A 27,190-nucleotide genomic window follows, 5' to 3' on the forward strand; every position below is an offset into this window, starting at 1 on the left:
CCACGCTTGGCTAATTTTTGTATTTTTAGTAGAGATGGGGTTTCACCATGTTGGCCAGGCTGTTCTTGAACTCCTGACCTCAAGTAATCTGCCTGTCTTGGCTTCCCAAAGTGCCGGGATTACAGGCATGAACCACCGTGCCCAGCCAGAAAGCTAGTTTTCAAGGACACACTGCTCTATGCCATATCCATTTTTACAGTGAAGGTCACCTTGAGAAATAAATTAGCTTTTTCTAAAGGGATACTTTTCCTAGGATTGCTGTAAGTTGGGAATATGGTTTGGATATTTGCCCCCTCCAAATTTCATGTTGAAATATCATTAGGGAATTGCAAATTAAAACAATAATGAGATATCACTATGCACTTAATAGAATGGCCAAAATCCAAAAAAACCTCACAATACTAAAAGCTGGTGAGGAAGGAGAATAGCAGGACCTCTCATTCATTGCTGGTGGAAATACAAAAGAGCACAGTCACTTTGGAAAACAGTTTAGCAGGTTCTTACAAAACTAAACATAGTATTACCATATGGTACAGGAATCAAGCTCCTCAGTATATATCCAAATGAATTAAACTTATGTTTCCCCCCACCCAAAACCCTGCACAAAGGCTTATAGCAGCAGTATTCATAATTGTCAAAAACCAGAAGCGGCCCAGCGTGATGGCTCACACCTGTAATCCCAGCACTTTTGGAGGCTGAGGTGGGTGGATCACCTGAGGTCAGGAGTTTGAGACCAGCCTGGCCAACATGGTGAAACCCTGTCTCTACTAAAAATACAAAAATTAGCCAGGCGAGGTAGCAGGTGCCTGTAATCCCAGCTACTTGGGAGGCTGAGGCAGGAGAATTGCTTGAACCCGGGAGGTGGAGGTTGCAGTGAGCTGAGATCACACTACTGCACTCCAGCCTGGGCGACAACAGCGAAACTCTGTCTCAAACAAACAAACAACAACAACAACAACAAAAACCCCAGAAGCAATCCAGATGTTCCGCAGTAGGGAATGGCTCAACAAACATTGGTGCATCCATACAATGGAATATTATTCAGTGACAAGAATAAACGAGCTGTCAAATCACAAAAAGGTATGAAGGGCTCTAAAACACATATTGCTAAGTGAAAGAAGCCAGTCTGAGAAGGACATATATTTTATTATTTCACGATGTGTTATTCTGGAAAAGGCAAAACTGTAGAGACAGTAAAAAATATCATTGATTACCAGGAGTTAGGGAAGAAAGAAAGAAGGATGAAGAGGTGAAGCACAGGGAAGTTTTAGTCAGTGAAATTATTCTCTATAACTCTATAATGGTGGATACCTGTAATTTGTCGAAACCCATGGAAATGTACAACCTTATAGTACACTATGGACTTCAGTTAATCGTAAAGTGTTAATATTGCTTCGTTGACTTTAACAAATGTACTGCACTAATGCAAGGTGTTAACAATAGGGGGAACTCTGTGGGGGAGGAGAGTATATGAGAACTTCTTACTAACTGCTTGATTGTTCTGCAAATCCGAAGATGTTCTAAAAATAAAGCCTATTAATTAAAAAAACCCCAAAATGTAAAATAACAATAATGAGTGTCTGATTTCAATTTGCCTATAACATGCTTAGAAATTCAATTCGTTAATTTCAGTTTTTGAAATAATCAGATTGTCCAAAAGAGGGTGCCAAAGATTTACAAAGGTATTTTCTTTGGTTCTGTAAAAAGAAGCTAAGTAATAAAATAGAATTAATGTAATTAAAAGCCAAGAGAACCTAATATAAGTCAATGTGTCTGACTCTTATCTACATCTTGCCAATGACTCCTATCCTCCTTCCCTGGGACTCATGTTGGATGCGTTTTGCTTCTTGGTGCTGCTGCTTTGCTGTGTTTGAGAGTGTAATTCACCCTCATGATGCACAGCAGGTGACCCTGACTCCAAAGATACCTGCAGGGAGCTGAGCTAACCGAAATACGCCTGCACCTTATTTTAGGTAACGATAGACAGAGGCTTGTATAAGTTGGATTTGAATGGGAGTTTGCAAATTGATGTGTATACTTTGTAAATTTATACTATTTTCAGTTATATACACTTAGAGACAATTTTGACTTATTACTATTGGGTCTTCCACTGAAAGTGGCTTTTAGCACTGTAATCTTCAATTGCCCTGTTTCTAGAACCCTAAATCAAGGAGTTTATAATCTGTAACTAAGTATAAATGCATTGACACAATTCATTTTTTAAGGTATCTTTTGGTGGGCAGGGCCTGGTGGCTCATGCCTGTAATCCCAGCAGTCTGGGAGGCTGAGGCAGGAGGATTGTTTGAGCCCAGGAGTTAGAGACCAGCATAGGCAACATAGCAACACTCTGCCTCTGCAAAAAAATAAAGAATTAGCCCGACATGGCAGTGTGTAACCTGTAGTCCTGACTACTCAGGAGGCTGAGGTGGGAGGATTGCTTGAGCCCAAGAGGTCCAGGCTACAGTGAGCCAAGATCATGCCACTGCGGTCCAGCCTGGGTGACAGAGCCAGACCCTATCTCAAGTATATATATGAATAATTTCATCAAGGAATCTCCTTAAGATAACTATATCACAACAAAACTAAGTTCTTTTTTTGTTATATTGCCTTTTTACATTTTCAGAACATCTTTATTTTCTGTTGATTGTAAAAGAAACAGACACTAATAAAATAATCAGATTAAAAAAATTGTTTTAGGTTTGGGGTACATACGCAGGTTTGTTATATAGGTAAACTCATGTCACAGGGGTTTGCTGTACAGATTATTTTGTCATCCAGGCACTAAGCCTAGTACCCAATAGTTATTTTTTCTTCTCTTCTCCCTCCCCCCGCCCTCCACCCTCAGGTAGGCCCCAGTGTCTGTTGTTCTTTTCTTTGTGTCCATGAGTTCTCATCATTCAGCTCCCACTTATAAGTAAAAACATGCAGTACTTGGTTTTCTGTACATGCATTAATTTGCCAAGGATAATGGCCTTCAGCTCCATCTATTTTCTCACAAAAACATGATCTCATTATTTTTTATGGCTGCATAGTATTCCGTGGTATATATGTACCACATAAAATAATCAAATTAAGAAACTCCAAAGTGAAAGCTTACTTAATCTTACTTGAAGATTTCTTACTTACTGTCAGTGATTTGTTATGTAACTTTCTCTTTGGTGTGTATATTAAGAAACAATTTTATTTTATTGTGGTAAGAACACTTAACATGATATCTACCCTCTTAACAAATTTTGAAATATGCAATACAGTATTGTTTACTAAAGGTACCATTTTGTACAGCAAATCTCTAGAACTTATTCATATTGCTCAACAGGGAGGGGCTTGTGTAACCTTCTGAATGTTTACATATGTGTTTAGAATGTAAATGGCTTACATTATCCATATTCTCCAGTGATATACTTTCCACATCTAATGATGAATGTCTGTCTTATATAACATCATTCTTTCTTTGCAATGGATGCCTATGATTCCCTTTTATGGATGTATTACACTTTGTTTAGTCAATACCCTATTACACAATTTATTTAGTTCTTTCTTTTGTTTTTGTTTTTGCTATTAACAGTATTGATTTAATAAAAAGCCTTACAAACCCATATTTATGGATTCGTGCTATTATCTCTGTTTAACTAATTCCTGAATTGAAATTCTAAGTTTAAATATAAGCATATTTATATATATATTTTAATTTTTAATTTTTTGTGGATATATAGTGGGTATATATATTTATGGGATGTGTGAGATGTTTTGATACAGGCATGCAATACATAATAATCACATCATAGAGAATGGGGTATCCATCCTTTCAAACATTTATGCTTTGTGTTACAAGCAATCCAATTATACTCTTTTAGTTATTAAAAATGTACAATTAAGTTATTATAGACTATGGTCACCCTATTGTTCTATCAAGTAGTAGGTCTCATTCATTCTATTTTTTTTTGTACTCATTAACCATTCCCACCTCCTCCCCATTCTTTCCTCTTCCCTTCCCAGCCTCTGGTAACCATCCTTCTGCTCTCTATGTTCGTGAATTCAATTGTTTTGATTTTTAGATCCCATAAATAAGTGAGAACATGTGCTGTTTGTTTTTCTGTGCCTGGTTTATTTCACTTAACATAATGATCTGCATATATTTTGATAGGCATTACCATCCACTATCTGATAAGTTTTACAGATTCAGTCCTGTAATTTAATGATGGGGATATGTTCTGGGAAATGTGTCCTTAGATGATTTTGTTGTTGTGTGAACATCAAAGAGTGTATATAGTATTTATGTAAACCTAGATTGTGTAGCCTACTACACACCTAGGTTATGTGGTATAGCCTATTGTTCCTAGGCTACAAACCTATACAGCATGCTACTTACTGAATAATGTAGGAAGTTATAACGCAAATCACTAAGCCACAGGAATTTTTCAGCTCCATTTTCATCTTATGGGACCACCGCGGTATATGCGGTTTGTTTTTGACTGAAATGCTCTTATGTGGCACATGAGTGTATAAAAACCCACTCACATGAGTGTTCCTCTGGGGTTTTCTTAAAGTGGAGAACAACTGCATCTAAGAATGAATCATTTTAGATCAGGGCTGTCTAGGATTGAAATGTCCCAGGATCAGACAGCATCCAGAATAGCATTTACCTTTTCTGGTATATGCTGCAAAATAATTGCCACAAGTATCATTGACGATTTGCATTCTTGGTATATCTATGTAAAGGAGATGTCCTTCGACTGACAGCTGGCAATACTTCTTGCAGATCTCAGAGCTAACTGCATGTTGAGGTTCAGCATCCACTCTGGTGATTTGGTGATTTGAGTTTTCAGATCTTGAGCTGTGTAATTTCAGGAGGCTTTCTTCTCTGTCGGAAGGAAGACTGGAGTGATGCAATTATCCTATTGGAGTACATTTCCTTTCAATTCTGTTCTCAAAATATATTTTTTTCCAGAAGAAAAAATTAGCGTCATTTTTATTGGGCAGGGGAGGGGTAGGAAGGGGATTTGGATAAAAAGAGTAGAACCATTCATCTGCTTGTATTCCTTTTCAGAAGACGTGGTTAAAGTTTTTCCTAGTCATTTTTACATCTTTTTTATGGGAAGGGATTGTGTTACAGTACACATTTTATTTTGCCAAGTGAGCTGTTACAGTGCATACCAACATACACACACACTACCCACATTCCTTCAAGAAGCAACTAACACTATCAACATCATTTAAATAACAAAATAGTAATATTATTATTATTAAGTCCATTGTTTATTAGCTCTTTGACCTTGGTTAGGTTATCATATCACTCTGTTCATCTATAAAATAGAGTAACTGTGAATATCAAGTGAGATATGTATAATGCATAGCACATGGTAAATAGTATATGTAAGTATATTCTTATTTTTTGTCATTAAAGTTTCCTTTAAGGAAAGATATGGGACTTGTGATATAATAAGCAATATTTATTTGGTCATCTCTGCTCCAGTTCCTGGCACAGAACTTCTAAAACTCTTGTAATTTCCTGAGTAGATGGGGTGCCAGGATGATCTTTTGTTTCACTATTTGGTCTCTAACCCTTGTTCCTAACAGAAACCCTAAATCTCTTGGTATTTCCTGGGCAATAGCAGCATCTTTTATTCTAATGAACCAACTTTTGGTGGGCTCCTGAATGGAGAGAGAGAGCTCTCTCCCTCTCTCTTTGTGCCTGTGTGTGTGTGTGTGTGTGTGTGTGTGTGTCTACATTTGGGATAATAAGTACCTAAACTGCCCACATATTGTCCTTGCTTGATATGTTTTCTAAGTCTCTTTGAATCTATAGATTTTACCTTTTTCATTTTTTGTTTTAATTGTCATCAGAAAGACAAGACACAGAAGTTTGAAACTTTCAGCCTCACCCCACCTCCTCTTGGGGAAAGAAGATCGGGTTAATAATGGATCATGATTACCTGATTAAGCCTCCATAATAATCTCTAAAGTACTGAGCACTTGGTGCTTCTGGGTTGGTGAACACATCCAGGTATTGGGAGGATGGTGCACCCCAACTCCATGGGCACAGAAGCTCCTGCCCTTGAGACCCTTTCAGACCTTTCCCTATATCCTCTTCATCTGTATCCTTGATCGTATCCTGTATAATAAACCAGTAAACCTAAGTGTTTCCCTGAATTCTGTGAGCCATCAGCAAACTATGAAACCTGAGGAAGGAGCCATGCGAACCCCCAATTTGTAGCCAAGCTGAACAGAAGTGTGGGTAATCTGGGGACCTACTACTTGGGAGTGGCATTCGAAGTGGAAGGCAGTCTTGTGGGACCGAGCCCTTGTCCTGTGGGGGGTGCACTAACCCCAGGTAGTTAGCATCATGATTGAATTGTAGGACACCCACTTTGGTGTTCAGAGAGCTGGAGAATCGGTTGGTGTGGGGAGAAATCCCTTCATGTTGAATGTAGTAGAGAAAACGTCTGCTTTTCTCATACACCTCTGCTTGTATTCATCTTTCTATCTTCGCTTGGGTTCTCCCAGAAGCAAACTCTGAGCCAAAGAGTTGGGAAGCACAAGGGACACGGGTAAAATAATACACGGAAGGGCTGATACAAGGAATACAGGAATGATGCAAGGCAGCCAGATACAGGGGGAGCTTTAAGGCCAGTGCCCGCAGTTGGCTGCTGGGGCGTTACCCCATGGGGAAGCTCTGGGAAGCAGTGCAAAGCACAGACCTCGGAATTTACTAGTGGATGGGTTATGAAGCTGTGGGATTTGGGCAACAACTCCTGGCAGTCATTTGTGAGGATTATTCCTTGGGCAGTGATTTCCTCAGCTCTCCCAGCCTGTCATGCACGTGTGCAGACAGAGAGGCCCACAGGTACCGTGATGCAGGTTCAGGCCGCGGGAAGCCGGCAGGAACATCTTGAAAGGTGAGGCGCTAATAATACTGCTACAGCCGTGGACTCTTGAACACCTAGCCTGTAAGACCACTTAGGAACCACCGGGGAAAGCCAGAAGTCTCTTATCTTTTTCCCTTTTTTCACAGGTGGAGCAAGTGAATTAATTAGGTTGTACAAAAGGCTGCATTTTCTATATATCATGTTCAGTTCTAAACAGAATCTACTCAGCCTTTTGGAATAAAAAATAGTCTGTGGTTCTGGACCACAAGCATGTATTTTCTTTTTTGTTTATTTAAATTTTTTTTATTATGGAAAATTTCAAACATATATAAAGATAAAGTGAGTAGCTTAATGATTAATCACATATTCATCACTTGGATTCATCTTGTTCCGTAAATAAACCCATCTATGTCCCACACCACTCCCTACTGGATGAATTTTAAGTAAAATATATCATTTCATCCATGAATATTTCAGTGTACATCTATATAATACAAAAATAATTTCACTATTCTGATTATTAACAATAATTAATCAGTATAATTAAATATCTAGTTCTCGTATAAATTTTCATGTCTTTTTTTTTCTCCTCCTTCTTTCTGTCTCTCTCTGTGCCTGTGGGGTATGTGTGTGTGTGTGTGTGTGTGTGTGCATCTACATTTGGGATAATAAGTACCTAAACTTATTGTCCTTGGTGGATATGTTTTCTAAGTCTCTTTGAATCTATAGATTTTACCTTTTTCATTTTTTTGTTTTAATTTATTTATTGAAAAACCAGACTAGTTGCCCTGTAGAATTTCCACTACTTTGAGTTTTACTAATTGCATTTTTTTACTAATTGCATTACAGGAGTGAGCCACTGCGCCTGGCTGATCATCTAGTTTTGTGTAGTTCCTGCTCTAGACCTGTAATCAGCCATTTTTTCCAAAGTGCTTTAATTTTTAAACAAAAAGTTGATGTTTACTTACATTTAGACAGCAAAATCTGTGTGCTTAAGGTGTTCAGTACTGCTTGGTTGATCTTTGTTTCTATGCTTTTTTTAAGTGGCCAATTCTTTAATTGATTTGACAACAACCATTAACAACAATTTTCACTGATGACCTTGCTGTAGTGACATATCATGAGTCATATATTATCTTCATTGATAGTGCTTTATGTTTATTTAGCAAGAAATTAATAAGAGCTTACATAAATGTGATTCGGTAAGATCATTTTAGCCCGAGGAAAGAGCATGAACAAAACCACAACCTGGAAAATGCAAGAAATCCAATTTGACAGAGTTGTTTGTACAGGTAGGAAAGTGGTGGGTACTAAAGTCTAGAAAAAGTGTGTTGGAGCTGGGGAGAAGTGCCAAAGGCTGCCAAGTAGCTGAGCATAGAGCATCGTATCTTTTTTTCTTTTTCTTTTCTTTTTTTTTTTTTTTTTGACGTAGGGTCTCACTTTGTCACCCATGCTGGAGTGCAGTGGTGTAAACGCAGCTCACTGCAGCCTCAACCTACCAGGCTCAAGCAATCCTCCCACCTCAGTCCCCCAGGTAGCTGGGACTACAGATGCCTGCCATCATGCCTGGCTAATTTTTGTATTTTTTGTAGAGAAAGAGTTTTTATAAAGACCAGCCCAGGCTGGTCTTGAACTTCTGAGCTCAAGCGATCTGTCCACCTTGGCCTCCCAAAGTGCTGGGATTACAGGCATGAGCCACCGTGCCTAGCCCTGAGCATCATATCAGGGCTAGGCATGGTGGCTCATGCCTGTAATCACAGACCTGTTGATGGATCACGAAGAATATGATGGGCAGCAGATGATATGATATGCCAGCTTTGGAATCGCACAGACCTGGGCTTTAATCCTAGCTTTGCCAATTATTGGACAAGCAAAAGCTTAATTTTATTTAGGTGATGATAAACCACACAAATATTCCACTAAAGCAAAGCAGGATGTATGATCATCTATTACCACCTTATATCATTTAATCCAGACTTCAAATTGTCCATGGTCACTCTGCTACCACTTTAGCGATGGGAAGTACAAGGAGGAAAAATCAGAGAGAAAAGAGAGAGCAGTCTCTTCAATTATAAATAAAATATGTCTGCAAATTGTAAAACATTGGACCATGTGGACATATTGCTAGAGCTGTCTCAAATGAGAGACCTTGAAAGTTAAGTCTTATTGGTTTCATGGTCACTCAGCTTTGAGGATGAGGAAAGGAGAAGAACAAGGACTTCTGCCTTGAGTCACTTTTCCTTAATGAGGGCAGCAGAAACCCTGGAAGCATTTCAGAAGATAGTACCTGTCAGGCTTCCTGGCCCCTCATTGACTCTCAGTTTTATACCCACACACACACCCACACTCACTCCTGTGGATTTTCTTAGCTCTAAACCAGTAAGGAGAAAATCTTAATGAATGGTATTCTGTACACTAATGCACACAGAGAAGGTCCACTTTAAACCTGATCTTGATAAAATTGTGGTTTATCATTTCTCTTAACTCTTTATGGAGTTACTGAGCTAAGATGTACTCATCTTTGTGCTGAGTGATTTGGGGTTCACAGACACGATGACCAGAGGGATCATCAGGTCTTTAAGGCAAGAAGAACCTAGAGACTCGTAAGACAACTCTCTCATTTCACAGATGAAGATACTAATACCCCCAAGAAATTTATAATCTTATATGAGAGGATTAAAAAAAACTTGAAATAATTAAATAGTAATCTACAATGTCACAGGATGAAGTTCTCCATTTTATATGGGTTATATGTGCTCTAGGAGTCCAACGAGGCATCCATTGCAGTAGCCATCAATGGAGAGAGATAAGAGCCTTGACATTTACTGAGGGTATAAAGTGTGTAAGCGGTTTTATCCGTGTGATCTTGGGTCTAATATTTGCCCAGGGGATTAAAGAATAAGACAGAAGTATCTGACAGAACTTGGGAAGTTTAAGAAAATGCTCAAATGTAGAAAACTATGGCTTGTCTGGAAGATGGTGGTGGAGAATTGGGATGAACATTTGGATAGAAAAGAAACAAATGTATGAGAATGAGACAGTCATGAGTATGAACCAGGATCCCCAGCAAAGGTTAGCAATCACTGGTTTGGCAGTTAAAATTTGTATTTTAGAAAGAATAGCTCAGCAATTACTGCAGTCACAGATAATTTCATAGCTGCCCTTGTCCCCAAGAGAGCTTAAACCTTCAAGATCACAAAAACAGATCAATTTAGCTATTAATATACATTAAACTAATGCATTAATTGCATAAAATGACTTTACATACAAAATTTAAATGGTTTTACTATAATTAGTGGGCAGAAAGGTCCACTGAGCACCTATTGTCACTCAAATTTAAATCTTCACATAAAATTCTGTTAAGATGGTTCAAAAATGTAACCATGGCTTGTCATCAGTTACCTGCATTAATATTGTCATGCACATTTTAAGAACAAATATTGCCATGTCTTAAGAATTATTAGTGATCCCTTTAGACTGTGAGCACTCTGGTAGCAGACACTAGCATGCTGATTTATTATGCCATTTCTCTCTCAAAAGACAAAAACAAAAAAACAAAACAAAAAAAAACCTCCAAACCTTTAAAACCAAACTCTCTCTCTCTCTAACACACACACACACACACGCACGCACACACATACACATATGTTTTCATTGTATATAATCTGTTGTAGCACACTGTTAATATATGTTTTCCTCCTACTCTAAGGGCTATCCCTGTGCTCGCAGCCAATGTGAGCTAGCCCATATTTTTCTCTGTTTGACCTTCTGGGACCATGAGTGGTGCAATGCTCTTGGCTTATGAGTGCTCTACTACTCTGTACAGAGGATGTGGTTTTCTAGCTGCTGTTGTTAAGAGCTATTTACTACACAGTGACCTTTCTTTCTGCAGTTTATTTTGTGTTCTAGTGAACATTTTTGACCCATAAAGGCTGGTAAAATTGTGCAAATGATAGACGTAAACTTGCCCCAAAGGAACAAAGGATTCTGTCATGCACATTTGGTAGAGTGTCATGACCGACAGAAATTAGGGATTAATGGAAATCCTTATGGAGGTCATAAACATCACCGCAGCCTAAAGGAATCAGGCCACTGTTTGGACAGGGACCTGGAGAAATTGATGGCAAGAGGCATGACATGATTCCTGGGAACCTGGAGGGTCTTTGCTAATGGCCCACCCCAGGAATGCATCTTGGGGCGGGGGTACATATGTAGCGTGGTGAAAGTGGGGCTAGGGCTGGAGCTGGCGCTGACTTTGGAAGAAGTACTGAGGCTATGGGGACAAGCTTGGCACAGCCCAGTGCACATTCTAACCTCTCCTACTCAATCTTTATAAAGAAGGAAACCTGTCCCTCCAAGAGTCCTGTAATGAGAGTGTTGATAGACTAGAATTGAGTGACAACAGTCCCCCCCAACCCCAATAAGAAGAGCTGAGAGAGATGATTTTACAGTATTTCCTCTCATCAAAGTAACGCAGGCTTGACTCTCGCTTCCTGACACAGAAAATTGCATTTTGTCACCCATTTGTCAGTTCTTACAGATTTTAAGATAATTAAAGAACATTATAGCAGGTGACAGCTGTTGCCGAATGCCGTGTTGCTAGTTCTTCTGCTCGTTGGATGCCCATGAATCTCGAATGATGATAGCTTGGTGCTCCAGGTTTAATTAGCTGGTTGTTTGGAATCTGTCTAGGCTCTCAGGTGTGGGGTGAGCAGGCTTGCAGTTTGTCGAATCTGAGCTGTGCTCATCACTGGCTGTTGGAACTGGGTTTGATCAGCTCACGGAAGAGCCAGCTGGGGGTGCCCTGAGTGTTATCAGACAAGGGCATCAAAGGAATGAGGAATGCAGGGTTTTGGTGATGGCTATTAAGAGAATCCCACGCTGATTGGTTTCCTGATGTTCTTGCATCAAATCAGGCTTTTGTTTTCAAATTTATTTTCTGATCACATCTCCTTCGAGGCCATCTCTTTTGTTATACAGCACAGCGATCATACTCCATCGGGATTTATCTCCAAGTTCGTTTGTCAAAAACTCCCTCACATGCAGGGGGAGAACTAAGTGGTCTCGACCCTGGCTTTTAAGTTCGCCCTCACCCCCAAATCATACATGTTTTCAAGCTTGTCTGAAAACACAAAAGTGGTTTCAGGAATAATTTTTAAAATTATCCTTAACTTACACAAAAAGTTCATTTCTAACAATATACCGTGAATCATTACGAGTGATACAGTAGAAGTACATCCGTTTCTATTTTAGAACTGCAGGGAAAGTCTTGTGCTTATAGAAACAACTTACAGTCCCTCAGATCACATGCATTCTTTCAGCCTTTGCTTTCACACCATTCTGCCTTGAAATTTTTCTTACTTTTGTACACCAGACAAATTCATGCTCATTTCAAATTTTTAAAAAAATTATTTTTGTTTTTTTGTGGGTATATAGTAGGTGTGCATATTTATGGGGTACATGAGATGTTTTGATACAAGCATGCAGTGTGAAATAAGGTATTGGCACACAGGCCACCTTTTTGAAACCTTCTTAGATTCCACCTCGTGGATCTAGGCCCTTTTCTGTTCGCTTCTGCTTCCTGTGCTCTTTGCGTGCAAGTTTCTCTATACAGAATCAAAGCCATTGATATAGCATATGGTCTACATTCACTTGACTTGATTATTTCATTGTCTTCAACACAATTTTTCTTTCTTTTCCTTTTTTAAAATGATTTATTTATTTTTTTGAGATGGAATCTTGCCCTGCCACCCAGGCTGGAGGGTAGTGGCACCATCTCAGCTCACTGCAACCTCTGTCTCCCAGGTTCAAGTGATTCTCCACCCTCAGCCTCCTGAGTAGCTGGGGCTACAGGCATGTGCTGTTTTTATTTTTTTATGGGTACATAGTAGGTGTATATATTTACGGGGTACCTGAGGCATTTTGATATAGGGATACAATGTGTAATAATCACATCAAGGTAAATGGGGTATCCATCACCTCAAGCATTTATCATTTCTTTGTGTTACAAACATTTCGATTACACTCTTTTTGTTATTTCAAAATGTACAATAAATTGTTGTTGAATGTAGTCACCCTGTTGCGTTATCAAATACTAGATCTTATTCATTCTATCTAACTGCATTTTCATACCCATTAACCTTCCCCACTTCCCCCGCTCCCCCACTACCCTTCCCAACCTCTAGTAACCATCATTTTCCTCTCTATCTCTATGAGTTTAATTATTTTAATTTTTAGTTTCCAAAAGTGAGTGAGAACATGTGAAGTTTGTCTTTCTGTGCCTGGCTTATTTCACTTAACATAGTGCCCTCCAGTTCCATCCATGTTGTTGCAAATGACAGGACCTCATTCTTTTTTTTTATGGCAGAATAGTACTCCATTGCATGTATGTGCCACATATTCTTTATCGATTCATCTGTTGATGGACACTTAGGTTGCTTCCAGGTCTTGGCTGTTGTGAATAACGCTGCCATAAACACGGGAGTGCAGATATCCTTCGACATGCTGATTTCATTTCCTTTGGATAAATAACCAGTTGTAGGATTGCTGGATCATATGGTAGTTCTATTTTAAGTTTTTTTGAGGAACCTCTAAATTGTTCTCCATAGTAGTTGTACTAATTTACATTCCTACCAACAGTGTACAAGGGTTCCCTTTTCTCCCCACCTCACCAGCATTCATTATTTCCTGTCTTTTGGATAAAAGCCATTTTAACTGCGGTGAGATAATATCTTACTGTATTTTGATTTGCATTTCTCTCCTGATCAATGATGTTGAACAGTTTTTCATATGCCTGTTTGCCATTCATATGTCTTCTTTTGTGAAATGTCTATTTGGATCCTTTGCCCATTTTTAAATGGGATTATTATATTTTTTTCCCCTATAGAGTTGTTTGATATTCTGGTTGCTAATCCTTTGTCAGATGAATAGTTTGCAAATGTTTTCTCCCTCATTGTCTTCAACACAACTTTACTATTTCATGAGACTCTTTTTGAGGAAGATACAAGTTGTAAATAATTTTATTTTTTATTCCAAGGATTTACAGAGTCCTATCAACTTAATAGAGTGCATCAGTGAACAGTTTACAAAGGACTCTTTGAACCCTTTGCTTCAAAAATCTTGCACTACTGTGTTCACCAATCCTAAACTATGATCCTTACTCAATTCTAATCAGGCCTCTATATTGAAAGACCTGCTTTAAACTAGAGTTAAAAGTCTTGTTGAAGATCTTGGCTGGGCGTGGTGGCTCATGCCTGTAATCGCAGCACTTTGGGAGGCCGAGGAGGGTGGATCATCTGAGGTCAGGAGTTTGAGACCAGCCTGACCAACATGGTGACACCCTGTCTCTACTAAATAAATATAAAAAAATTAGCTGGGTTTGGTGGCGCATGCCTGTAATCCCAGCTACTTGGGAGGCTGAGGCAGGAGAATTGCTTCAACCCAGGAGTCGGAGGTTGCAGTGAGCCGAGATCATGCCACTGCACCCCAGCCTGAACAACAAGAACGAAACTCCATCTCGAAAAAAAAAAAAAAAATTTTGACTTTGCCCTATCCTCTCTAGGATATTACTAAGGCTCTGTTGACCTACTGTTCTCCCTTACCATGGCAAGCAGTAACTCAGCTTTGTTTTATCAACGCATGCTTTGGTGATACTTTGGGGGAACCAGCATTTGACACCATGACAGCCCATGCTACTTTGTCTTTTACTTGATTGTGTCTCTCTTCCCTGTTTACCATGAACTCTTGAGGATAAGAATTATGTCTTTACCCTCCTGCCTATCCTGGGGTCTTATGTGTAACAAAGAGCCTAAGAAATAAATATGCATCTCTTGGAAAATGGAATTAGTGAGATGGAGAGGAAGCTAATGTCTTGATACATAGAGAAAGCATACTGCTTGACCACATTCAAACTTGTTCAGTGCTTTTCCGAGTCCTTTTCAGCCTGAGTTTTAACAATCTTTATGTTTAGCCCCAATCCATCCATCTAACTGTATTTCCAACACATTCTCCCCTCCTGTAAACCAATCTTCCTTATTGGGCCATGCACTTATGCACCTACAGGTATCCACGTATTCTGTTTCATGTGCCAGGAATGTCTGATGCTAAACTTTGTGCAAAATTTAAGATCAAATTAATTCTAAATTCTCTAGGTAGTCCTCAATTTCTCTACTACATTCGATTCTGTTTTTACTTTTAACTTTTATAGTATTGTTGTGGCCAGAACCTCATTTTTTTTTTTGGCACTGTTCTCATATAACTGATATTTATTCAGTTAATTTTGATATTGAATTCAGGTGCAAGATCCTTGAAGGGGTGGGTTGCCCCTCCACACCTGTGGGTGTTTCTCGTTAGGTGGAATGAGAGACTTGGAAAAGAAAGAGACACAGAGACAAAGTATAGAGAAAGAAAAGTGGGCCCAGGGGACCGGCGTTCAGCATACGGAGGATCCACGGCAGCACCGGCCTCTGGGTTCCCTTAGTATTTATTGATCATTAACGGGCGTGGCAGGATAATAGGATAATAGTGGAGAGAAGGTCAGAAAGTAAACACGTGAACAAATGCCTCTGCATCATAAGCAAGGTAAAGAAAAAAGGCCGGGCGCGGTGGCTCACGCCTGTAATCCCAGCACTTTGGGAGGCCGAGGCGGGTGGATCATGAGGTCAGGAGATCCAGACCATCCTGGCTAACAAGGTGAAACCCCGTCTCTACTAAAAATACAAAAAATTAGCCGGGCGTGGTGGCGGGCGCCTGTAGTCCCAGCTACTCGGGAGGCTGAGGCAGGAGAATGGCGTGAACCCGGGAAGCGGAGCTTGCAGTGAGCCGAGATTGCGCCACTGCAGTCCGCAGTCTGGCCTGGGCAACAGAGCGAGACTCCATCTCAAAAAAAAAAAAAAAAAGTACTCTGCTTTTGATGTGCATATACATAAACATCTCAATGCCTCAAGGAGCAGTATTGCTGCCAGCATGTCCCACCTCCAGCCCTAAGGCGGTTTTCCCCTATCTCAGTAGATGGAATACACAATCGGCTTTATACTGAGACATTACATTGCCCAGGGATGAGCAGGAGACAGAAGCCTTCCTCTTATCTCAACTGCAAAGAGGCGTTCCTTCCTCTTTTACTAATCCTCCTCAGCACAGACCCTTTACGGGTGTCGGGCTGGGGGACGGTCAGGTCTTTCCCTTCCCACGAGGCCATATTTCAGACTATCACATGGGGAGAAACCTTGGACAATACCTGGCTTTCCTAGGCAGAGGTCCCTGCAGCCTTCCGCAGTGTTTTGTGTCTCTGGGTACTTGAGATTAGGGAGTGGTTTGAGATTAGGGAGTAGTTTGAGATTAGGGAGTGGTGATGACTCTTAATAAGCATGCTGCCTTCAAACATTTGTTTAACAAAACACACCCTGCACAGCCCTTAATCCATTTAACCCTGAGTTGACAGAGCACATGTTTCAGGGAGCACAGGGTTGGGGGTAGGGTTACAGATTAACAGCATCTCAAGACAGAATTTTTCTTAGTACAGAACAAAATGGAGTCTCCTATGTCTACTTCTTTCTACACAGACACAGTAACAATCTGATCTCTCTTTCTTTTCCCCACAATCCTCTACTCATCATTCAGTAATTTACTCAACTAATGTTTATAGAAACCCACTATGGCAATCTACTTGATAATACAAGGGATGCAGCAATGATTAAGACAGCATGATCTTGTACATTTTTAGTTTTTTTTTTTTTTTAAGTATCCACAAGTTCCTTAGCACATGGCCAAGTAAAACATCAATGCTCAGCCAACTCTTTTGGTTATTTGGTTCTTCCTCCAGACCTTCTTCACATTCATCAAAGCTTTCATGTAACCACAGGGAGGCTGGCTTGTTATTTTGTGCCCAGTTTTATTGAATATTCTATCAACCTTGCTAAAAAGAAACTTACCGTAGAGAAACTTAACATCAGTTACCATAGTTGCTGAAAATTTTGATTATCTGGAGTAAGAAATGGTAAACAAAAAGTGAGATTAAATTGACCTAAAATACATAAGATGGTATAGGACTTTGAATGTTGGCTGGTGAGGGGTGGAGAGAGAAGCAGGAAAGTGCAGGGGCTAGTTAGTAGAACAAGCAAAGGCCAAGTTGGCTTCAAATAAAGTGGCTAAGTGTCCACAACATTGTCCATAAGGAAAGGGCTGAAGAAAGCAGTTTCCTAGCCAACTATGCCATTGCATGGGGCTGCTTTGTGGGGATCTTTAGGTAGTGAAAATATTCGTCATCAATGGATGGTTCAGAGTTCCCAAGGTTATGTCTTCTTTGAAATTGTGTCTGATGTTACAGGTGCACATACTGGCCTCTGGGAAAAGGGGACGTCAAGGGCGGGAGGAGGAGCTGGCTAGGTTCATTGTTGGAAATCTATCCACATGAGAGCAAGTTCAAGGAGGACCCTAGACCCTGTAGGGAAGACAGAATATCATCAGGAAAAGAAAGAATAGTTGCATTCTTTTTTTTTTTTATTATACTTTTAGTTTTAGGGTACATGTGCTAATATCCAGAATCTACAAAGAACTCAAACAAATTTACAAGAAAAAAACAAACAACCCCATCAACAAGTTGCATTCTTTAGGAGTCAATTTGAAGGGAAAATGCTAAATAAGCATGCCATACCCAACACTTTCTTGGACTGGGGAAGCAAGACTATTGGCAACCACGCAGACATGGTGCTGGTGCATTTATTACCACATATATAGATAGGTTTGGCAGAATCGGCTCCACCTTTGAGTGGGGTAGAGGTAGAGTTGCAGGTCAAAGGCTTTTTCATACCCAGAGGAACGCTGAAAGTAATAGGAGAAACCGGGACCAGCAGGCATTGACATTGTAACAGTTTAGTCCTTTTCCATTTTTTCTCTTTTGACACGACTAGAATAGTTTACATTATTTTGTCTTTCTTCTTCTCATGCGGAAGGTAGGGAAATTACTTAGCTGTGAAATGACTCATGCAGAAACAAAGATCAAATATGAAGGGAAAGCAAGGAAAATAAATATAAATGTATTGGATAGCCAACTCCTGAATATTGAAGGCAAAAAAACAAAACAAAACAAAAAATCCACAAAAAACCCATGGGCATTATTTTGAGAATGAAATAGTGTGCTGATGGAAGATCAGGTGGTTTCACCAGAATTTGGATTAGTGTTCATGTGAGTGAACCCTTCTTCCAACTTACAAATAATTTAAGAAAAGATAATACACAACGAAGATCAATATGCAGTCATTGAAGCAGAAATTATTGGAATAGTGCAAATTGGAGCATTCAGAAGAAAAACTGTATTACAATTCCTCTTTCATTGTATATGAACCTATTAAAACAATTTGCAACTTTCATTTACCAGAATAACACTCCCTCCCATAAACAAGTATTGGCACCAACTCAATCACATTCGCTATATTCTGAGTAGTGTTAATTTATTTTTTTCTTACATCACTGATTGCCACAGTATATTCACTTTGATTTTAAAAACCCAGAACACAACTTAATTTTAACAAATAATGTAATTTAAAAGAACTATTTATTGAGTCCTATACTAAATTGTATTTTTTCCCATAGAGTATTGCCATAGAGTATTGAATTTTCAAACTTTGTTCCTATTACTTCCAGCTTTTTTTTTTTTTCCCACTAGGACTTTTCCATCCTTTTATCTGAAAGAAACAATCCCTTCTCAGTTTTCTTATTAAAAATATTTTACCTATAACTGATCAGAGCGCAGTCATCCTAAAAGCAGATTTATTCAGAAGACAGATAATAATCCAGTTGCTGAGAAACTAAATGGATAAATTAGTTCTTAATTCTGATATACTCTGCTTTAACACACATTGGCCATGTCTGAAATTTTTTTCTGAAGGTCATTTATATTGTCCATATCTGCACTTTCTGTTTTCTCTTACGGGAGTCAGGCTCTGATGAGGTAAAATATAAGGCATTCCCGGAGACATTATGCTCTGGTTACAAAGCAGAAGACTGGTCATTTCAAATCCTCCCTTCTACTTTTGGCAGATGGCTGTGGGATTGCAAAACTAGTAGGAGCTGTTTGTGACTCAGTTTTTCCAACTCTTAAAAAGGGAATAATGTATCAAAATCCATCTTGCACTTACAGAAATTTGTGGAGAATATGTGAAATAATTTGATAATTTCTATAAAAATGCTTTCTATGTTTTGTTGAAACTCTTCTATTTTAAAATTTCATACTATTCTCAGACAATAAAATGGTGAAATTAAAGTGGACTTGATTACCAAGCTTATTTTTATAAGATAAAAAACCGCATATCTGACATTTACTATAGCTTTGAAAACAAAACTTTGTTCAAATGAATAATTTTCTGTGGAAAGCATGAAAAAGAGGCTTTTCGAAATGATAACTAAAATAATTATTACCTTTTTGAACTTATAACCACAGCATGACCATAGTATAAAATGAAAAAAAAAGGCAAAAGCCATAATCATTAATAACCCTTCCAATAATCAATCTAACAAGAATGTTACTGATGGAAAAAATTGGCTTAGAAAGTACATGCTTAGTATTTAGTAGTCTCAATATTACTGCCATTATTACAACAATAGAGCATGCATTAAATTGTAAATCAAGCATAGTGTATACTTACTTGGGGGAGAGGACATACTGTGAGTGATGCAAAATGATTCTTCTAACAGCCTTAGGTTATAACAATGAGCAGGCATTCCATAGAAGCTCAAAGCAGGAGGTGCATCCTAGCTTTCAGTTGTTAAGAGGATGACATGGGCTCTCTTTTGATTTGGCCAATGCTCTGGTATTTTAGAGTGTACAAGAAGAACATGCATGACTACTGGGTGAGTTTTAGAATGGCTTCATCCATTTGGAATGGGAATGCATTAGGTGATCTGAAAAAAAAATCTCTTCCAGTGTTGACATTCTATGATTCTAGTCTTTTTGGAAAGAAATTCATAGATTTGATACTTGTACCTCAGGACCGTATACTCTATAGCAGACACAGAGGTACATATGTGGAGAGTTGTTCACCCGTAGAACTGGATACATTTTCATCAACGCCTTGGTGATTATGTTGCTTTTGGTAATATCAGCAAGACTTGTTTTTATCATGACCTATTGCCACAGGACTGTGTGTACTATAAATGTTACTGCTGTTTTTACTGTGAGTATAACTCAGGGAGGAAAGACGTAGCAGCTTTGCCTCTGGTGGTGAGAGGCAGGAAAGGAGAGCCAGGGCATTGCCATGGTACAAATAATAGCCATGCAATCCCTGATCACTCTTTCCTAGTCCTGATTAAACTGAATGCTGATGGGCTGACTAAGGTCCTTTCTAAACTTCCAGGACATCTGCTACCCCCAAATGTTAGTGGCTCATAAGCATTATGCAGTAATCAAAAGTAGAGAACTGAAACTCTTCTTAATTTTGTAACTGTGAAGAGCAAGCACATTTTATCTTTTAGTTTTGTACCTCCAACCTCTAAAAATCATTAAATGCTTCCTTGGAAGGGGTATTGTTTCACTTACCACCATTATTAGAATAAAAAGTGTGGAGTAATTTATCAATAGATCAGGGTCAAGAAATTTTTAAAATTCTACTCTTTACCTCATGAAGCCGCTAGCACTGCAGATGGGCATGGTGGAAGGAGAGTGATTTTAAAGGAAGGCAGATGTTGTTCAAACTCTGTGCCTGCCACTTAATAAATGAGGGACCTTAATAGAGTTAATTAGCCTTCCGAGTCTCAGTTTCATCATCTATAAAATAAAGATACTGAAACAATTTATAGTGGTTGTTGTACTGGACACATAGGCAGCAGGAAACAAATGGTGGAGAATGTCGCATTTGTTGTAGGGGTTTGACTATAGACAATGGAGGGATCTTGTTAAAGAGTTTATGCACAGTTACTGCATCTGTGTTGGCTGCTGCAGCTTGCAGTCAGCTTGGTCAGGAAGAAGGATGGAAGAAGATGGATGAGAAGAAAGATGGACAAGAAGTAGGAGAGAGTGAGTACAGATTAGAACCTGCAAGGAAGGGCTGGAGTTCTCAAGGATGAAATGGAACTCAGGTGAGGCTCATAGCCTCCAGGCCTCCCACTTTGATGAGGTGGATGATCCAGCAGTATTTGGAGGAGCTAAAGCCTGGGTGTTGCTTCACGCCAAGGTGAGTCAGCAGATTAGAATGAGCATGAGCTGCAGGAGTGCTGGGAACAGCGCCCGCAGCCCTGCTCCAGCCTTGCGAATAGCAGGAGAATATGGCATCCATTTCACTTCCACCTTCCACGTCTCACGTTAAATGTCCCTGGTGGCCCAAGTGAATCTAGAACTGTCCAGGGAAAGGGGATTCTGGTTAACAGTCCCAGTGAGCTAAGTTAACACAGAACAAAGCCACCATAGGGTAAAGTACCTATTGATATTAAGAATTCCTTCCACCCTTCTTTTCTCTTAATCATCCAGCCTGTTCTCACACCTTGCATGCAGTTGCCATTCGAATTCCTCCTGGTATTCAAGCACACACAGTGAAATTCTCTCTTCCTCAACATATCTCTATATCAGCAGTTCTCAACCAAGGTGGCTTTGCCCCTCAGGGGACAGTTGGCAGTGTCTGGAGACATTTGGGGTTGTCATGACAAGGGAGAGAACACTACTGTCATCTAGTGGGTAAAGGTCAGAGATGCTAAATGTCCTGTGATGCACGGTACAGCCTATAACAAAGAATTATCCAGCTCAAAATGTCAGTGATCCTAAGACTGAGAAACCCTGTTGTGTCGTCACTTGCTCATTTATCTCCATGGTTTCTGGGGAAGAATCATTTGCTTCTTTCCTAAAGTCAGCTCCTTCACTTGTGCTTTTGCTCATTTCACTTTGAACCCTTGTAGAAGCCCATTTGCTCGCTTCTCTCTCCATTTACCTCACAGACCAAACATATTAAAACGATCACATTTGCTTTCCCTTTAGATCTTTCAAAGTTCCATGCACTTGCTAGCTCTTTCTTTAATTACAAACTCTAATCGAAGGATCCATTGATTACTCGTTTCCTTCATACCCCTGGAGTCTGGTGCCTCAGCAAAAACTTCACAGCCAAAATTTTAGATTAGTGAGAAGCTTATTCTGAAAAAACTTGTGGATTTTTAAAAGGTAAAATTAATGGACTTTCCAGTCAAATTAATTTTATTTCTTATATACGTGCTTTTCAAATTCTCCTATCCCCTTCATGAAGTCATCATGTCAAATTTTTTTTTCTTTTTAATTTATTATTATTTTTTATTATTATACTTTAAGTTTTAGGGTACATGTGCACATTATGCAGGTTAGTTACATATGTACACATGTGCCATGCTGGTGCGCTGCACCGACTAACTCGTCATCTAGCATTAGGTATATCTCCCAATGCTATCCCTCCCCCCTCCCCCCACCCCACAACAGTCCCCAGAGTGTCATATTCCCCTTCCTGTGTCCATGTGATCTCATTGTTCAATTCCCACCTATGAGTGAGAATATGCAGTGTTTGGTTTTTTGTTCTTGCGATAGTTTACTGAGAATGATGGTTTCCAATTTCATCCATGTCCCTACAAAGGACATGAACTCATCATTTTTTATGGCTGCATAGTATTCCATGGTGTATATGTGCCACATTTTCTTAATCCAGTCTATCATTGTTGGACATTTGGGTTGGTTCCAAGTCTTTGCTATTGTGAATAATGCCGCAATAAACTTACGTGTGCATGTGTCTTTATAGCAGCATGATTTATAGTCATTTGGGTATATACCCAGTAATGGGATGGCTGGGTCAAATGGTATTTCTAGTTCTAGATCCCTGAGGAATTGCCACACTGACTTCCACAATGGTTGAACTAGTTTACAGTCCCACCAACAGTGTAAAAGTGTTCCTATTTCTCCACATCCTCTCCAGCACCTGTTGTTTCCTGACTTTTTAATGATTGCCATTCTAACTGGTGTGAGATGGTATCTCACTGTGGTTTTGATTTGCATTTCTCTGATGGCCAGTGATGATGAGCATTTTTTCATGTGTTTTTTGGCTGCATAAATGTCTTCTTTTGAGCAGTGTCTGTTCATGTCCTTCGCCCACTTTTTGATGGGGTTGTTTGTTTTTTTCTTGTAAATTTGTTTGAGTTCATTGTAGATTCTGGATATTAGCCCTTTGTCAGATGAGTAGGTTGCAAAAATTTTCTCCCATTTTGTAGGTTGCCTGTTCACTCTGATGGTAGTTTCTTTTGCTGTGCAGAAGCTCTTTAGTTTAATTAGATCCCATTTGTCAATTTTGTCTTTTGTTGCCATTGCTTTTGATGTTTTGGACATGAAGTCCTTGCCCATGCCTATGTCCTGAATGGTAATGCCTAGGTTTTCTTCTAGGGTTTTCATGGTTTTAGGTCTAACGTTTAAATCTTTAATCCATCTTGAATTGATTTTTGTATAAGGTGTAAGGAAGGAATCCAGTTTCAGCTTTCTATATATGGCTAGCCAGTTTTCCCAGCACCATTTATTAAATAGGGAATCCTTTCCCCATTGCTTGTTTTTCTCAGGTTTGTCAAAGATCAGATAGTTGTAGATATGCGGCGTTATTTCTGAGGGCTCTGTTCTGTTGCATTGATCTATATCTCTGTTTTGGTACCAGTACCATGCTGTTTTGGTTACTGTAGCCTTGTAGTATAGTTTGAAGTCAGGTAGTGTGATGCCTCCAGCTTTGTTCTTCTGGCTTAGGATTGCCTTGGTGATGCGGGCTCTTTTTTGGTTCCATATGAACTTTAAAGTAGTTTTTTCCAATTCTGTGAAGAAAGGCATTGGTAGCTTGATGGGGATGGCATTGAATCTGTAAATTACCTTGGGCAGTATGGCCATGTTCACGATATTGATTCTTCCTACCCATGAGCATGGAGTGTTCTTCCATTTGTTTGTATCCTCTTTTATTTCCTTGAGCAGTGGTTTGTAGTTCTCCTTGAAGAGGTCCTTCACATCCCTTGTAAGTTGGATTCCTAGGTATTTTATTCTCTTTGAAGCAATTGTGAATGGGAGTTCACTCATGATTTGGCTCTCTGTTTGTCTGTTGTTGGTGTATAAGAATGCTTGTGGTTTTTGTACATTGATTTTGTATCCTGAGACTTTGCTGAAGTTGCTTATCAGCTTAAGGAGATTTTGGGCTGAGATGATGGGGTTTTCTAGATATACAATCATGTCATCTGCAAACAGGGACAATTTGACTTCCTCTTTTCCTAATTGAATACCCTTTATTTCCTTCTCCTGCCTGATTGCCCTGGCCAGAATTTCCAACACTATGTTGAATAGGAGTGGTGAGAGAGGACATCCCTGTCTTGTGCCAGTTTTCAAAGGGAATGCTTCCAGTTTTTGCCCATTCAGTGTGATATTGGCTGTGGGTTTGTCATAGACAGCTGTTATTATTTTGAGATACGTCCCATCAATACCTAATTTATTGAGAGTTTTTAGCATGAAGGGTTGTTGAATTTTGTCAAAGGCCTTTTCTGCATCTATTGAGATAATCATGTGGTTTTTGTCTTTGGCTCTGTTTATATGCTGGATTACATTTATTGATTTGCGTATATTGAACCAGCCTTGCATCCCAGGGATGAAGCCCACTTGATCATGGTGGATAAGCTTTTTGATGTGCTGCTGGATTCGTTTTGCCAGTATTTTATTGAGGATTTTTGCATCAATGTTCATCAAGGATATTGGTCTAAAATTCTCTTTTTTGGTTGTGTCTCTGCCCGGCTTTGGTATCAGAATGATGCTGGCCTCATAAAATGAGTTAGGGAGGATTCCCTCTTTTTCTATTGATTGGAATAGTTTCAGAAGGAATGGTACCAGTTCCTCCTTATACCTCTGGTAGAATTCGGCTGTGAATCCATCTGGTCCTGGACTCTTTTTGGTTGGTAAACTATTGATTATTGCCACAATTTCAGCTCCTGTTATTGGTCTATTCAGAGATTCAACTTCTTCCTGGTTTAGTCTTGGGAGAGTGTATGTGTCGAGGAATTTATCCATTTCTTCTAGATTTTCTAGTTTATTTGCGTAGAGGTGTTTGTAGTATTCTCTGATGGTAGTTTGTATTTCTGTGGGATCGGTGGTGATATCCCCTTTATCATTTTTTATTGTGTCTATTTGATTCTTCTCTCTTTTTTTCTTTATTAGTCTTGCTAGCGGTCTATCAATTTTGTTGATCCTTTCAAAAAACCAGCTCCTGGATTCATTGATTTTTTTGAAGGGTTTTTTGTGTCTCTATTTCCTTCAGTTCTGCTCTGATTTTAGTTATTTCTTGCCTTCTGCTAGCTTTTGAATGTGTTTGCTCTTGCTTTTTTAGTTCTTTCAATTGAGATGTTAGGATGTCAATTTTGGATCTTTCCTGCTTTCTCTTGTGGGCATTTAGTGCTATAAATTTCCCTCTACACACTGCTTTGAATGCGTCCCAGAGATTCTGGTATGTTGTGTCCTTGTTCTCGTTGGTTTCAAAGAACATCTTTATTTCTGCCTTCATTTCGTTATGTACCCAGTAGTCATTCAGGAGCAGGTTGTTCAGTTTCCATGTAGTTGAGCGGCTTTGAGTGAGATTCTTAATCCTGAGTTCTAGTTTGATTGCACTGTGGTCTGAGAGACAGTTTGTTATAATTTCTGTTCTTTTACATTTGCTGAGGAGTGCTTTACTTCCAACTATGTGGTCAATTTTGGAATAGGTGTGGTGTGGTGCTGAAAAAAATGTATATTCTGTTGATTTGGGGTGGAGAGTTCTGTAGATGTCTATTAGGTCCACTTGGTGTAGAGCTGAGTTCAATTCCTGGGTATCCTTGTTGACTTTCTGTCTCATTGATCTGTCTAATGTTGACAGTGGGGTGTTAAAGTCTCCCATTATTAATGTGTGGGAGTCTAAGTCTCTTTGTAGGTCACTCAGGACTTGCTTTATGAATCTGGGTGCTCCTGTATTGGGTGCATATATATTTAGGATAGTTAGTTCTTCTTGTTGAATTGATCCCTTTACCATTATGTAATGGCCTTCTTTGTCTGTTTTGATCTTTGTTGGTTTAAAGTCTGTTTTATCAGAGACTAGGATTGCAACCACTGCCTTTTTTTGTTTTCCATTTGCTTGGTAGATCTTCCTCCATCCTTTTATTTTGAGCTTATGTGTGTCTCTGCACGTGAGATGGGTTTCCTGAATACAGCACACTGATGGGTCTTGACTCTTTATCCAATTTGCCAGTCTGTGTCTTTTAATTGGAGAATTTCGTCCATTTACATTTAAGGTTAATATTGTTATGTGTGAATTTGATACTGTCATTATGATGTTAGCTGGTGATTTTGCTCGTTAGTTGATGCAGTTTCTTCCTAGTCTCGATGGTCTTTACATTTTGGCATGATTTTGTAGTGGCTGGTAGCGGTTGTTCCTTTCCATGTTTAGCGCTTCCTTCAGGAGCTCTTTTAGGGCAGGCCTGGTGGTGACAAAATCTCTCAGCATTTGCTTGTCTGTAAAGTATTTTATTTCTCCTTCACTTATGAAGCTTAGTTTGGCTGGATATGAAACTCTGGGTTGAAAATTCTTTTCTTTAAGAATGTTGAGTATTGGCCCCCACTGTCTTCTGGCTTGTAGGGTTTCTGCCGAGAGATCAGCTGTTAGTCTGATGGGCTTCCCTTTGAGGGTAACCCGACCTTTCTCTCTGGCTGCCCTTAACATTTTTTCCTTCATTTCAACTTTGGTGAATCTGACAATTATGTGTCTTGGAGTTGCTCTTCTCGAGGAGTATCTTTGTGGTGTTCTCTGTATTTCCTGAATCTGAACGTTGGCCTGCCTTGCTAGATTGGGGAAGTTCTCCTGGATAATATGCTGCAGAGTATTTTCCAACTTGGTTCCATTCTCCCTGTGACCTTCAGGTACACCAATCAGACGTAGATTTGGTCTTTTCACATAGTCCCATATTTCTTGGAGGCTTTACTCATTTCTTTTTAGTCTTTTTTCTCTAAACTTCCCTTCTCGCTTCATTTCATTCATTTCATCTTCCATCGCTGATACCCTTTCTTCCAGTTGATCGCATCGGCTCCTGAGGCTTCTGCATTCTTCACGTAGTTCTCGAGCCTTGGTTTTCAGCTCCATCAGCTCCTTTAAGCACTTCTCTGTATTGGTTATTCTAGTTATACATTCTTCTAAATTTTTTTCAAAGTTTTCAACTTCTTTGCCTTTGGTTTGAATGTCCTCCCGTAGCTCAGAGTAATTTGATCCTCTGAAGCCTTCTTCTCTCAGCTCGTCAAAGTCATTCTCCATCCAGCTTTGTTCCGTTGCTGGTGAGGAACTGCGTTCCTTTGG

General features: G+C 39.4%; 1 long non-coding RNA gene across 2 annotated transcripts in view, besides 1 other annotated feature; it reads left to right on the forward strand.

The window, feature by feature from the left end:
• Positions 1-27,190, forward strand: part of LOC105371348 (uncharacterized) — a 154,623-nt gene that overhangs the window by 39,783 nt on the left and 87,650 nt on the right. The gene's annotated exons all lie outside the window — the stretch shown is intronic.
• Positions 20,332-21,531: an enhancer, noted in NCBI's record as "CDK7 strongly-dependent group 2 enhancer chr16:75854062-75855261 (GRCh37/hg19 assembly coordinates)". NCBI's record gives its function as "activates an origin of replication core promoter dependent on BRD2, BRD4, P300/CBP, MED14 and CDK7 cofactors, with strong dependence on CDK7, by STARR-seq in HCT116 cells {active_cell/tissue: HCT116}" and the evidence as "EXISTENCE:reporter gene assay evidence [ECO:0000049][PMID:35650434]".

The sequence above is a fragment of the Homo sapiens genome, chromosome 16 (genome assembly GCF_000001405.40).
Source record: "Homo sapiens chromosome 16, GRCh38.p14 Primary Assembly".
NCBI classification, from domain to species: domain Eukaryota; kingdom Metazoa; phylum Chordata; class Mammalia; order Primates; family Hominidae; genus Homo; species Homo sapiens.